This window comes from Homo sapiens, chromosome X, assembly GCF_000001405.40.
Source record: "Homo sapiens chromosome X, GRCh38.p14 Primary Assembly".
NCBI classification, from domain to species: domain Eukaryota; kingdom Metazoa; phylum Chordata; class Mammalia; order Primates; family Hominidae; genus Homo; species Homo sapiens.
The window spans coordinates 107,183,212-107,195,962 of record NC_000023.11 but is presented as its reverse complement, the minus strand read 5'-3'; the positions used below and the strand labels follow the sequence as shown (position 1 = coordinate 107,195,962).

Here is a 12,751-nt window from a genome sequence, read left to right as displayed (position 1 = left end):
ACCATGGTTTGACAACAATGAATTTTTCTATCAATATTTATATTATCATCATGTATATTAAAACATATAACACATAAATAATTATATGTTATAAAACCTATAATAATATTATAATTTATAACAACATAGCACTTGTAACCTCAGGAAAGTGGTACACTTGGGAATATAAAACTAAACACAGCAAATGCTCTTATTGCTTCCCTTTCTGTGCCTTCCAGGATTGAGTTGTTACAGTTGAAATCACCATTTGGAGCTCACATTTAAAAAGTTTTAAGATGTGTATAAGACTTGAAAATAAGCATGTTGTAACTAACACATTCAGATAAATGTTGTCCTTCAGAGTTACTCTTGGGAAAGTTTTCCCTTATACCCATGACACTAACAGTATTCAAGATGCTGTATCTCAGCCATTTAAAGAGGTACATTTTTTTCATGTCTTAACATCTCTGAAATGGAGGCAAGTCCAATAGTTGAATGGTATCTTTTGGCCAGGTGGCAGTTGTGACATGATAGTTGTTCCTGCATGCACAGATAATATCAAAATCTTTAGGATCAAAACTTTCATAATGGATGACTGAAGTGAAAAATCCCTGAGACAATGGAGGATCACCTTTAACTCTTAGAAAATAGTGGTTGTGGGGAATGAATGGAGGAGATAGTAAATCAGATTTAGTTACCAATATGCTGAAATGGGAGACAAAAGGAAGCTAGTCTACATATTTGCAAAGCTGACTTAAGAGCATAGCAAAAATGGCTTTTAGTTCTCTTATAATTTATTTTTTAAAATGCTGCTTTAACAGTGCTCCTGGTGGCATAGAAGTTATCAAGAAATTTGTGTTGACAATTGGGGCCTGGCACGGTGGCTTATGTCTGTAATCCCAACACTGGGAGGCTGAGGCAGGCAGATCATCTGAGGTCAGGAGTTCGAGACCAGCCTGGCCAACACAGTGAAACCGAGTCTCCACTAAAAATACAAAAATTAGCCAGGCATGGTGGCACATGCCTGTAGTCCCAGCTACTCAGGAGACTGAGGCGGGAGAATTGCTTGAATCCGGGACGCGGAGGTTACAGTGAGCTGAGATTGTGCCACTGCACTCCAGCCTGGGTGACTGAAGGAGACCGTCTCAAAAAAAAAAAAAAAAAAAAAAAAAGAGAGAAAGAAAAGAAAATTGGACTCAATGTGAATTTTTGAGATACATTAACCAAGTTACTTTGCTTATACGTTTTTCTAATATATGCATGTTTGATTAAAATCTATGTCTACAATGAAAAGAGCTCTTTCAAAAAGTATTTAAAAATTAAATAATAAGGAATTATGACAGGTTGGTGGTTTTTCTCCCTTCCTTTCTTAGTGGTGCATAAAGTAATGCAACTCTTAGTTTTAATGAGACATTTTTGAAATTTGTTAGAATTGCCTTTCAGAGCTACTGTGTTAAAAACTAATTTTTAGTCATCTCATTTTATTAATTTTGACTGGGATAGAATTATAAGTTCACAATGACTTTTCCCTTAACACTTTTAAGATATTTTCCCACTGTCTTCTAATGTTTATTATTGCTAATGAAGAGCCTGCTGTCAATCTAGTTGTTGCTCCTTATTAGGTAAATTTGTTTTTTTCTCTCTGGTAACTATGAGAATTTTTTCTCTATAGGGTTTCAATATATTGTATATAACGGGTATGTGTGTTTGTATGGTAGTGAGGAGGGATTGCCTGCTTGCACTTGGTGGCTTTTTAAATCTGAGAACTAATTTTTCTTCAGTTCTAGGAAATTCACTTATCAACTCTTTGAATACTGCCTCTGCCATTCTATTTTTTCCTTCTCTGTTCCTTCTGGATATATATTGGAGCTTCTTTTTCTCCTTATCTCTTAATTCTCTCCCCTTTTCCATCTTTCTTATTTATTTATTTTTATCTGCCCTCGGTACTGGCAGATTTTTTTCTGTTCTCTCTTCTAATTTGCTAATTTTTTTCTCTTCAACTGTGTAGTCTATTATTTAAATCTGTCTTTTGAGCATTTTTATTTCTAATACTGTTAGGCGTTTCTTGGATTTCCTTTTGGTTCTTTTTCACATTCACTTAGTTTTATGGATGCTATTTCTTTCTTGAGCTCTTTGAACATATCAGACATATATTTTGATGTGCTGTTCAGATTGTGCTTTTATCTCTAATTTCTGGGATAAGAATTCTCTCATTTTCTTAGGTCTAAAGATGACTGACTTAGATGTTTTGTATATCTTGTCTGTGAGTAACCTTCTAAGGGCTTTTTTTTTTTGACTATATGTGACCTAGGAAGTGGAGATGTCCCTTTTGAGTAATGTCATGGGCAACCTGCCTGGACCTTGAAGGTTTTATCAACTCCTAACCAGTTTTTATGATAACATCTTATCTTGAAGTTTCTACATCACAAACATAAATTGAATTTGAGCCATCTATGCATATCTTCTGTAGCAGTTTGGGATTCTCACATGTTTCTTGTCTTTTCCATCCTCCTGTAGATGTTTCTCAGATTTAAACTTCACTAGGTCTCTGCTGATTCAGGAGCCTGTGGCCTTACCAGGTAGCCTTAAATCGTACCCCAAATTCAGCATTGTATTTCCAGCTATTAAGGCACATATCTCATTCAAGGTATCATCTTGGGCTAATCAACATTAACTTCTGCTCATGGGTATGAATTCCCTTTCTGTCTGACACTTAAAAAATTGTCCTTCTTTCTGGAAAAACTTTGCTTTGTATTAAAAAATGTTTTTATTAAATGATTGTAAACTGGTACTTCTAGAAGTTTGGAGTACGAGGGAGCAACTCCAGTGTGGCTTCTGTCCACCATCTTTTCTTTGAGGTCTCATTGAGAGCTCTAATTTTTTTTCCCATTCTTCTCTTATCCTTTTTTAGGGTTTGGAGTCATCAGCAGGTTTAATTTTGGAGGAACTTTACAGGTGGGTTCATTATTTGGCTCTGCAAAAACAACAGTGACTACTTCCACTACAGGGTTTATTTTCTCTACATCTGGTATAGGAGGGTTAAATTTGAGGGTGTTGTCCCAACCAGTTGCAAGTGCATCTTCATCTTCCACTGGCTTATTCACATCCAGCTCCAGCTACACAGACTACAGGATTCATTTTTGGAACACTGGTTGTGTCAACTCCTGCCCCAGTAGCAACTGAATTTTCCTTAGAGTAAGAGCAATACAGTTTCTGATTTTTTTTAGTGGATACAAAGGTAATTGTCTCTGAGAGACAAACTGGGTAAAGAAATGATATGTTATTTCTAAATCAACTATTTCTGGCCTGGCGCAGTGGTTCGCGCTTGTAATCCCAGCACTTTGAGAGGCCAAAGCAGGTGGATTGCTTGAGCACAGGAGTTTGAGACCAGCCTGGGTAACATGGCAAAACTCCGTCTCTACAAAAAATACAAAAAATTAGCCGGGCGTGGTAGTATGTGCCTGTAGTCCCAGCTACTCAGGAGGTTGAGGTGGGAGGATTGCCTGAGCCCGGGAGGTCGAGGCTGCAGTGAGCCATGATTGCACCACTGCACTCCAGCCTGGGTGACAGAGCGAGACGCTGTCTCAAAAATGAAAATCTATTTGGAATTATGCTATTTATTCCCAAGGTAGTCTACCAAATTGAAGGCAGCTGAGATTTGAGGCACAAGGCACACTGAATTCTGTACTGTGGACTCCCTTCATTTTATGTGAACCATAGGAGGAGTACTCACTGAGTTTTGGAAATGTATCATCTTGAAATTAGGCTACTTGCTGAATAAGTGACTCTTTAGAGAGATCTTTTTCTATCGATCATTGTAATGAACTCATTATATAGTTTTCCCTCATGCATCTCAGAATTTTAAAGGAGGTACTCATTTCATGCCTTTTTAGGTAAATCCACTTGTTTTTTTGTAGCACTGATAGCCTCATGTCTTTTAGTAGCACCTGAGAACCTGGTGAAAGCAAGGGTATTCCCTCTGGAATTCTCCTTTATCCTGTTATAGTTATCTAATAACTTGTAATTGAATGCTAAATAATCTTTCTTAGGAGGATTAATTTAAATATTAAAGCATTTTGTCATGGGTCATGAAATACATTTAAAAATTTCTAAACTTTTCTGTAGTTGGTTAGTGTGGAAAAAAAGATAAAAAATCTCTAAAAATTGTTTTAAAGAGATGCGTGTTGTTTGATTTAGTGTCTAAAACAAAAACTTGTGTTGTTTAATAAAGTGCTGGGCTGGCAGAAAGAGGAAGTATAAGTCCTTTTTTTTGTTTTGAGATGGAGTCTCACTCTGTCGCCAGGCTGGATTGCAGTGGCGTGATCTTGGCTCACTGCAACCTCTGCCTCCTGGGTTCAAGCAATTCTCCTGCCTCAGCCTCCTGAGTAGCTGGGATTACAGGCATGCGCTACTGTGCCCGGCTAATTTTTGTATTTTTAGTAGAGACAGGGTTTCACCATCTTGGCCAGGCTGGTCTCAAACTCCTGACCTCGTGATCCACCTGCCTCGGCCTCCCAAAGTGCTGGGATTACAGGTGTGAGCCACGGCGCCCGGCCATATAAGTCCTTTTGTCTCTACAGAAGACAAAATTTTCTGAACTACTCTTTCCCCATTAAAACATTTTTAAATGTTTTTCCCCTTAAGGTGGATCAAATTAGGTAACCTTTATCTATGAATGAGAAATATGGAGCTCTGTACATGTATTCCTATATTAATATCTGGTTATCTTTCTGTATTGAGATGAAATAACCTATAGAACAAAACCTTCACATTTAAAACTTAATTTGACAGGAGCCATGTTATCTAGTTGCCTTTTAATATGTCAGATAACTATTATGTTGATTTTTGTTTCCTTTTTTCTATTTAGAATGTGCCTGTATTAAAATACCTCATGTAACCGTAAAGTTATACACCTACTAAACCCACAACAATTAAAAAAAAAAAAAGTTGGACAACACTGCTTCCACACAACCTACAGTGATTACAGGGGCTTCTGGGGTAGGTGCCAACACCCTTACTAATGCTGCAACTAGCAATACCCTGTCACATGAGGTGACAGCATCCACTCCTTTTGCTTTTGGCTCTTCTCCCTCCTCTGCTATTTAGGTTTCTCATTCATCGGTGGAGGCACACCTCAGACTGGGAGCACCAGTTTCAATATTGTTTCCATGAGGCATGCCGCTCAGCCAACAGCATTTGTAGAATTACCCCTTATTCCTGCTACTTAGGCATCTAGTGGCACAACTGCTGTACAACCAATAGCTCCTTTCGTCCTTGGCAGACAGTCCACAAGTAAGGTTTGAACTCTGCTCTCTAATGGAGAAGCACAGTATTCAAGATTGATTTTGAGATTCTTACTTGATTGATTCAAATCCAAATGTGGTCACTTCTCTTGTTGGAGGTTAGTGTTATTGATGAATATAGGGGAAATTAAATACAAAGTGCCCCTTCTGGTTTATAGTTTTAGGTTTAGAACCAATCAATCTTTGTTTTGGAAAAAGCAACAAACTCCTGAGAACCAGTAGTCTAGACCAATTGGCATATAGTAATCAGAGTTACCCTGAAATATTTTGGCCAATTGTTTAATGCTTATGTTTAACAAATATTTCTTGTTCACAATCTGTTGATTGTTTTTCTTCCTCTCTTAAAACTTCTGAAATGAAATTTATCAGGAGGAACAATAGAACAAGAAAGCATATCTTTAGGGTAGTATGACATTTTAGAGAATATTATATGATGCAATAAGTCAGTTATATGGCATGATTTGGGAGTGGTATATTCTTGCTAAAATATTTTGGCTAGTGGAGACATCTTATATACTATATATGGGTAACCAGTTTCCAGTTAGGTTGCAGTAAAATACATTTAACTTGTATTCAACATTAATGAGAAGACATTCAGGATCTTGCTAAACCAAAATGCAGTTAATAAAATGTTATATACAGTGGACCATATAGTATATAATCTTTTGGGAATGCCTTTTTTCACTCAGCGTAATTTTCTGGAGATTCATCCAGATTGTTGTCTGTATCGATTCTCTTTCTTTCTTTCTTTCTTTCTTTCTTTCTTTCTTTCTTTCTTTCTTTCTTTCTTTCTTTCTTTCTTTTCTTTCTTTTTCCTTCCTTCCTTCCTTCCTTCCTTCCTTCCTTCCTTCCCTCCTTCTTTCTTTCTTTCTCTCTCTCTCTTTCTTTCTTTCATTGAGACAGGGTCTCGCTCTCTCTCTGGCTGGAGTACAGTGGCACGATCATGGCTTACTGCAGCCTCGACCTCCCAGGCTCAAGTGATTCTTCCACCTCAGCCTCCTGAGTAGCTGGGACCATAGACGTGCACCACCACACCTGGCTAATTTATTATTATTATTATTATTATTTGTAGGGACGGGGTTTCACCATGTTGCCCAGGCTGGTCTCAAACTCTTGAGCTTAAGCAATCCTCCTGCCTTGGCTTCCCAAAGTGCTGGGATTACAGGCATGGGCCACTGTGCCTGGCCTGCATGTTTCTTTTTATTGCTGCATACTGTTGTATTGTATGGATGTATTACAGTTTTTTTAAAACTATTATCTATGAATGGATATTTGTATTTTTTCTACTTTTTGGCTATTATGAATAAAGCTGCTATGAACATTTGTGTACTGATTTTTTTCATGAATATAAGTCTTCATTACTCTGGGATAAATACCCAGTAGTGCAATTTCTGGGTTATACAGTAGTTGCATATTCAGTTTTATAAGAAACTGCCAAACTTTTCCATGTTAGCTGTACCATTTTACATACCCACCAGCAATGTATACAAGATCTAGTTTCTTTGTATCCTCACTATCATTTGGTGTTACTATTTTTTATTTTAGCCATTTTTGTAGATAGTGATACCATAATTGTAGTTTTAATTTACAGTTTCTCTGATAGTTAATGATGTTGAACATCTTTTCCTGTACTTATCATCTGTATATCTTATCAGTTCATGTCTTTTTTTAGTGAGAAAAAAAGCATCCAAAATAGCAATGTATTATAGGAGTCCTTTTTGCATGAGGATTTGAGTAATGTCAGTGGATAATATAATTTTACAAAAGACAGAATGCTGTTTGTGATTTTTTCTATTGTTAAACTTACACCTAGGTATTTCTTTTTTTTAGAGATTGTACATGATATTGTGTTTGCTTTTCATCACTAGTATATAGAAATACAGTTGATTTTGTATGTCTATCTTGTATCCTGAAACATTGGAGAACTCATTTATTCTAGGAGTTTTTTTTGTAAATTTCTTATGATTTTTCTACATAGATAATTATGTCATTTGCAAATATAGTTTCATTTCTTCCTTTCCAATCTGATGCCTTTTTTTCTTGCCTTAATGCAATAGCTAGAACTTCCAGCACTGTTTTGGATAAGAGTGGTGAGAGCAAGTTGCCTTGTTATTGATCTTAGGGGGAAAACATTCGGTCTTTCACTATTAAGTATAGTCTTAGCTGCAGTTTTTTGTTGGTGTTCTTTATCAAGTTAAGGAAGTTCCCCTCTCTGTATTCCAATTTTTTTTGGCGGGGCTGGGGGAGTGGTGGGGGGGAGTTTTTACCATGACTGGGTGTTGAAGTTTTTCAAATGCTTTTTCTGCATCAATTGATATGGTCATGTGATTGGTTTTCATTATCCCGCTAATACAGTGAATTACATCAACTGGCCCTAAATATTGTAACAACCTTGCATCTCTGAAATAAATCCCACTTGTCATGGTATATAGTTCTTTTATATATTGTTGAATTATATTTGCTATTATTTCATTAAGGATTCTTGCATTTATGTTCATGAAGGATATTGGTCCGCAGTTTTCTTTTTTCTATTGTCTGTCTGGTTTTGGTCAGTAAGTAATACTAGCTTCATAAAATGAGTTGGTCAGTGAGTAATACTAGCTTCATAAAATGAGTTCTCCTGTTTTATTTTCTGAAAGAAATTCTTCAAACATTTGGTAGAATTTTCCAATGAAATCATCCCAACCTGGAGATTGATTTTTGGGAGTTTTCACATTTATGAATTCAAATTCGTTAATTGTCATAGGGCCAGTCAAATGATGTTTCTCATATTGATGAATTGTGGTCGTTTATGTTTTTTGAAAAGTTGGTCCATTTCTTCTAAATTATTAAATTCATGGGCATAGTATTCTTTTGATGTCTGCTAGGTATGTCATGATATCCCCTGTTTTCATTCCTAATATTTGTATTTGTGTTTTCCCTCTTTTATTGTCAGTCTTACTAGAATTGTTAATTTTATAGATCTTCCCAAAAATCAGCTCTTGGCTGGGTGCAGTGGCTCACGCCTGTAATCCCAGCACTTTGGGAGGCCTAGGCGGGCGGATCACCTGAGGTCAGGCGTTCAAGACCAGCCTGGCCAACGTGGCAAAACATCGTCTCTACTAAAAACACAACAGTCAGCCGGGCATGGTGGTGCGCACCTGTAATCCCAGCTACTCGGGAGGCCGAGGCAGGAGAATTGCTTGAACCCGGGAGGCAGAGGTTGCAGTGAGCCAAGACTGCACCACTGCCCTCCAGCCTGGGTGACAGAGCCAGACTTCATCTCAAAATAAATAAATAAATAAATAAAAGAATTAGCTGTTTGTACAATTTTTTTTATTGTTTTCGTTTTTAATTTTACTGAGTTTTTGGTCTTTTTTTCTGTTTGCTTTGGGCTTATTTTGCTATTTTTTTTCTCAGTTCTTCAGTTGGGAGCTTAAATTATTGATTAGATTTTTCTTCTTTTCTAATGTGTACATTTAATGCTGTAACTTACCCTGTCTGTACTGCTTTGTGTCTCACAAATTTTGATAGGATGTATTTTCATTTTCATTCAATTTGGTGTATTTTTAAATTTCTCTTGAGACTTCCTCTCTGACCCATGTATTATTTAGAAGTGTTCAGTTTCCAAATGTTTGAAGATTTTCCTGTTATCTTTCTAGTTTGATTCAATTGTAGTTGGAGAATGCACTCTGTATCATTTTAATTCTTTTAAATTTGTCGTTGTTTGTTTTATGGCTAAATATATGATCTATCTTGGTATTTCTTTCATGGGCACTTGAAAAGTATGTGTATTCTTTTGTTTTGTTTTTTGAGACAGAGTCTAGCTCTGTCACCCAGGCTGGAGTTCAGTAGCGTGATCTGCAACTTCCGCCTCCCGCATTCAAGCAATTCTCCTGCTTCAGCCTCCCAAGTGGCTGGGATTACAGGCATGCACCCCCATGCCCAGCTAACTTTTGTATTTTTAGTAGAGACAGGGTTTCACCATATTGGCCAGACTGGTCTCGAACTCCTGACCTCAAGTGATCTGCCCACCTCAGCTCCCAACGTGCTAGGATTACAGGAGTGAGCTATCACGCCCCGCTCGAAAAGTATGTGTATTTTTTACTACTATATAATTCATCCATGTAACCAAAAACCACTTGTACCCCAAATGCTACTGACATTTTTTTAAAGTAGTAGATATGTAGGATGAACAAGTCTAGAGATCTAATATATAACATCATGAGGAGTATAGTTAACAAAATTGTGTATTAAAAGTATCTGCAAAACTGAGTAGATTTTTGCTGTTACACAAAAAAATGGATAATTATGTAAGATGATGGCTATGTTAATTTGCTTAACTATAGTAACTGTTTTATTATTTATATGTATCCCATAACATTATGTTTAATATATTAAATATACCCAATAAATTGATTTTTAAAAATGAAAAGTATGTGTATTCTGCTTTGTTGGGTGAAGTGTTCTATAAATGTCAATTAGATCCTGAAGGTTCATGATGTTTTTGAGTTCTTCTGTATCCTTGCTGATTTTCTGATAAGTTCTATCAGTTGGTAAGAGACGGGTATTGAACTCTCTAACTGTGTAATAGTGAATTTCTCTGTAAGTTTCATCAGTTTTTGCTTTACATATTTGGAAGCTCTGTTGTTTGGTTCATACACATATGATTACTAAGACTTCTTAGAGGATTGGCCCTCTTATCATTGTAAATATCCTCCTCTGTCTATGGTAATTTTCTTTGTTCTGAAGTCTACTTTGTCTGATAATAATATATCTACTCCCTACTCCCTTTTGTTAAATGTTGCATGGTATATTTTTTCCCATCTTTTAACTCTTAACTTGCCTATATCATTACTTTTGAAGTGACTTTCATACAGACAACATATAGTTGAGTCGTGTTTTTAATTCCTTCTACCAATTTTTAATTGGTATGTATAGGCCATTTACATGTACTATAATTATTGTATTGCTGTATTAGGGCTTAAGTGTGTCATTTTTTAAATTATGGTTTTCATTTCTTTCTTTTCCATTTCTGCCTTCCTATTGGTTATGTGAACATTTTTTAGAATTCCATTTTGATTTGTCTATAGTGTTTTTGAGAGTATCTTTTTGTATAGCTTTTACGGTCACTCTAGATATCATATACAGTATACATCTCTTATCACAGTCTACTGGCATTGCTATTTTACCAGTTTGAGTGAAGTCTAAAAATTGTTCCTCCCTGTATGTCCCTTAACCCTTCCCCATTTGTAATGTAATTGTCTTGACTATTTCCTCTACATATATTTAGAGCCATATCAGACAGGGTTATAATTTTTGCTTCAGCTTTCAAACATAATTAAGAAAACTGAAGGTAAGAAGGAAAGCCTATTATATTTACCCATATTTTTGCTTTTATTTGTTGTTTTTTACTTCCCGAGGTTCCAAGATTCCTTCTTTTATACTTTCCTTTCTGTTTTAATAATTTCCTTCAGCCATTTTTTTTTTTTTTTTTTTTTTTTTGAGACGGAGTCTCGCTGTGTCGCCCAGGCTGGAGTGCAGTGGCGCGATCTCGGCTCACTGCAAGCTCCGCCTCCGGGGTACACGCCATTCGCCTGCCTCAGCCTCCCGAGTAGCTGGGACTACTTTTACGGTAGTCTATTGGCAACAGATTTTCTGAGCTTTCCATCATCTCTCAATGCCTTGATTTCCTCTCTTTTTTCTGGAGGATATTTTCGTTAGCTGTGAGTTGACAGTTCTTTTCTTTCAGCACTTGAAAAGTATTGGGCTACTTCTTTCTTGCTTTCCTGCTTTCTGATGAGAAATCCTCTGTCATTTAAATAGTCTTTTCTCTCTTGGTTAGATGCTATTTTTCTCTTACTGCTTTCAAGTTTTTTTCTTTGCCTTTGGTTTTCAGAAGTTTAATTATTATGTGTCTTTGTAAATTTCTTTGTGCTTATCCTTTTTGGGTTCGCTCTGCTTCTTGAGTATGTTCATTTATGCCTCTTTGGCATAAATTTGGAACATTTTCACCTATTTTTCTATCAGCTATTATTTACTTTTTAGCGCTACCCTCTTTCTCTTCTTGTCTCTGATGACACGAAAGTTAAGTCCTTGGTTATAGTCCAACAGGACCTGATGCTCTGTTAATTTTTTTTCAGTCTATTTTTCCCTGTTGTTTGGATTGGATAATTTCTATGATTCTATCATCCAGTTCACTGATTCTTATTTCTGTACTCTCCCTCTATTCTACTACTGGGTCCTTCTACCAACCTTTGCATTTCATCTATTACAAATTTTTCATTCTAAAATTTTTGCTTGGTTCTTTATAACTTCCGTTTCTTTACCAATAATTAATTAGTTTCTTTCTTTCTTTCTTTCTTTCTTTCTTTCTTTCTTTCTTTCTTTCTTTCTTTCTTTCTTCTCTTTTTTTGTGCTGAGGCGGGTTTTTTCATTTGTTTGAAGTGTGTTAATAATTGTTTGTTGATGAATTTGTTTTACATGAATGCTTTAAAATCTTTGTAATTTTTAAACTGAAACCTAGATATTCTCATACTATGTTATGAGACTCTGGATCTGATTTAAACCTTTTGCTTTGGCTGGCTTTATTTGACATTGTTCTGGTGGAGGGGGGGGAGGTGCTGCCTTTTTACTGCAGAATGGGAGTAGGACTTCAGTTTCCATACTTGGTCTCAGTGGACACCTGAAATGAGGGTCTCCAAGTTACTGCTAGGTGGAGTGGGGATTCCTGCCCCCGACATGGTTTCTGCTGGCAAGGTGAGGATGGAGTTTATTAACTGCTGGCAGGGATGAAAAACCTGGCTTCGAGTTTGGTCTTCTTTTATACCACCCTGGCGAGGGTGTTGGGATGCCTTATTATAGCCTCACAAGGGTGGGTGTCTAGGCTCTCCTGGTGTTTGCTAGCATGAGTGCAGATAGGACCACAGATTTTTCTGTGGTGGTTGGTTATAGTTGGAGTGGTTATTGTCTAAAAGTTTTCTGACTTGCTTGGCTGCCCCCTCCCTTGCCCTTTGTCTAAAAAAAGCAGACTTTTTTGTTAGGGCTTTTTGAAAAATTTATACCCATTGGCATTTCTGGGTTGCCAGCCTGTTCAACTCCAAGCCTGGGAAATATGAGGCAAAAAGAAAACCTAGGGAACTCACCACCATATTGTTCCTTTGGTTTTGGAATCCCTAGCCAGTTTGCCTTCTTCTCTCTACCTTTCAGAATCTTCTTAGGTTTATTTATTTTTTATCTTATTTTACTTTTTTCTCTTTTTTTAAGCAATAGAGCCAGGGTCTCATTATGTTGCTCAGGCTGGTTTTGAACTCCTGAGCTCAAGTGATCCTCCCACCTCAGCCTCCCAAAGTCCTAGGATTACAGGTGTGAGCCACCACTCCTGGGCTTCTTACGTCTATTTTATATGTAACGTCCTGGGGTTTTAGTTGTATCTAGGGGGAAGAAGAGGGAGAAGTACAGCTACTCCATCTGCCCTGAAATGGAAGTCC

The 12,751-nt window shown here is 36.8% G+C and overlaps 1 protein-coding gene across 3 annotated transcripts in view; it reads left to right on the top strand.

Annotated features, from left to right (window-relative positions):
- NUP62CL (nucleoporin 62 C-terminal like) overlaps positions 1 to 12,751 on the top strand; it is an 83,007-nt gene that overhangs the window by 10,471 nt on the left and 59,785 nt on the right. Inside the window, exon 2 of one of the 3 annotated variants that reach the window (NM_017681.3) lies at positions 2,891 to 2,934. The exons of the other annotated variants lie outside the window; for them this stretch is intronic. The gene's annotated coding sequence lies outside the window, so the exon portion shown is untranslated. The remainder of the gene's footprint in view (positions 1 to 2,890; positions 2,935 to 12,751) is intronic. 3 annotated transcript variants of the gene reach the window in all.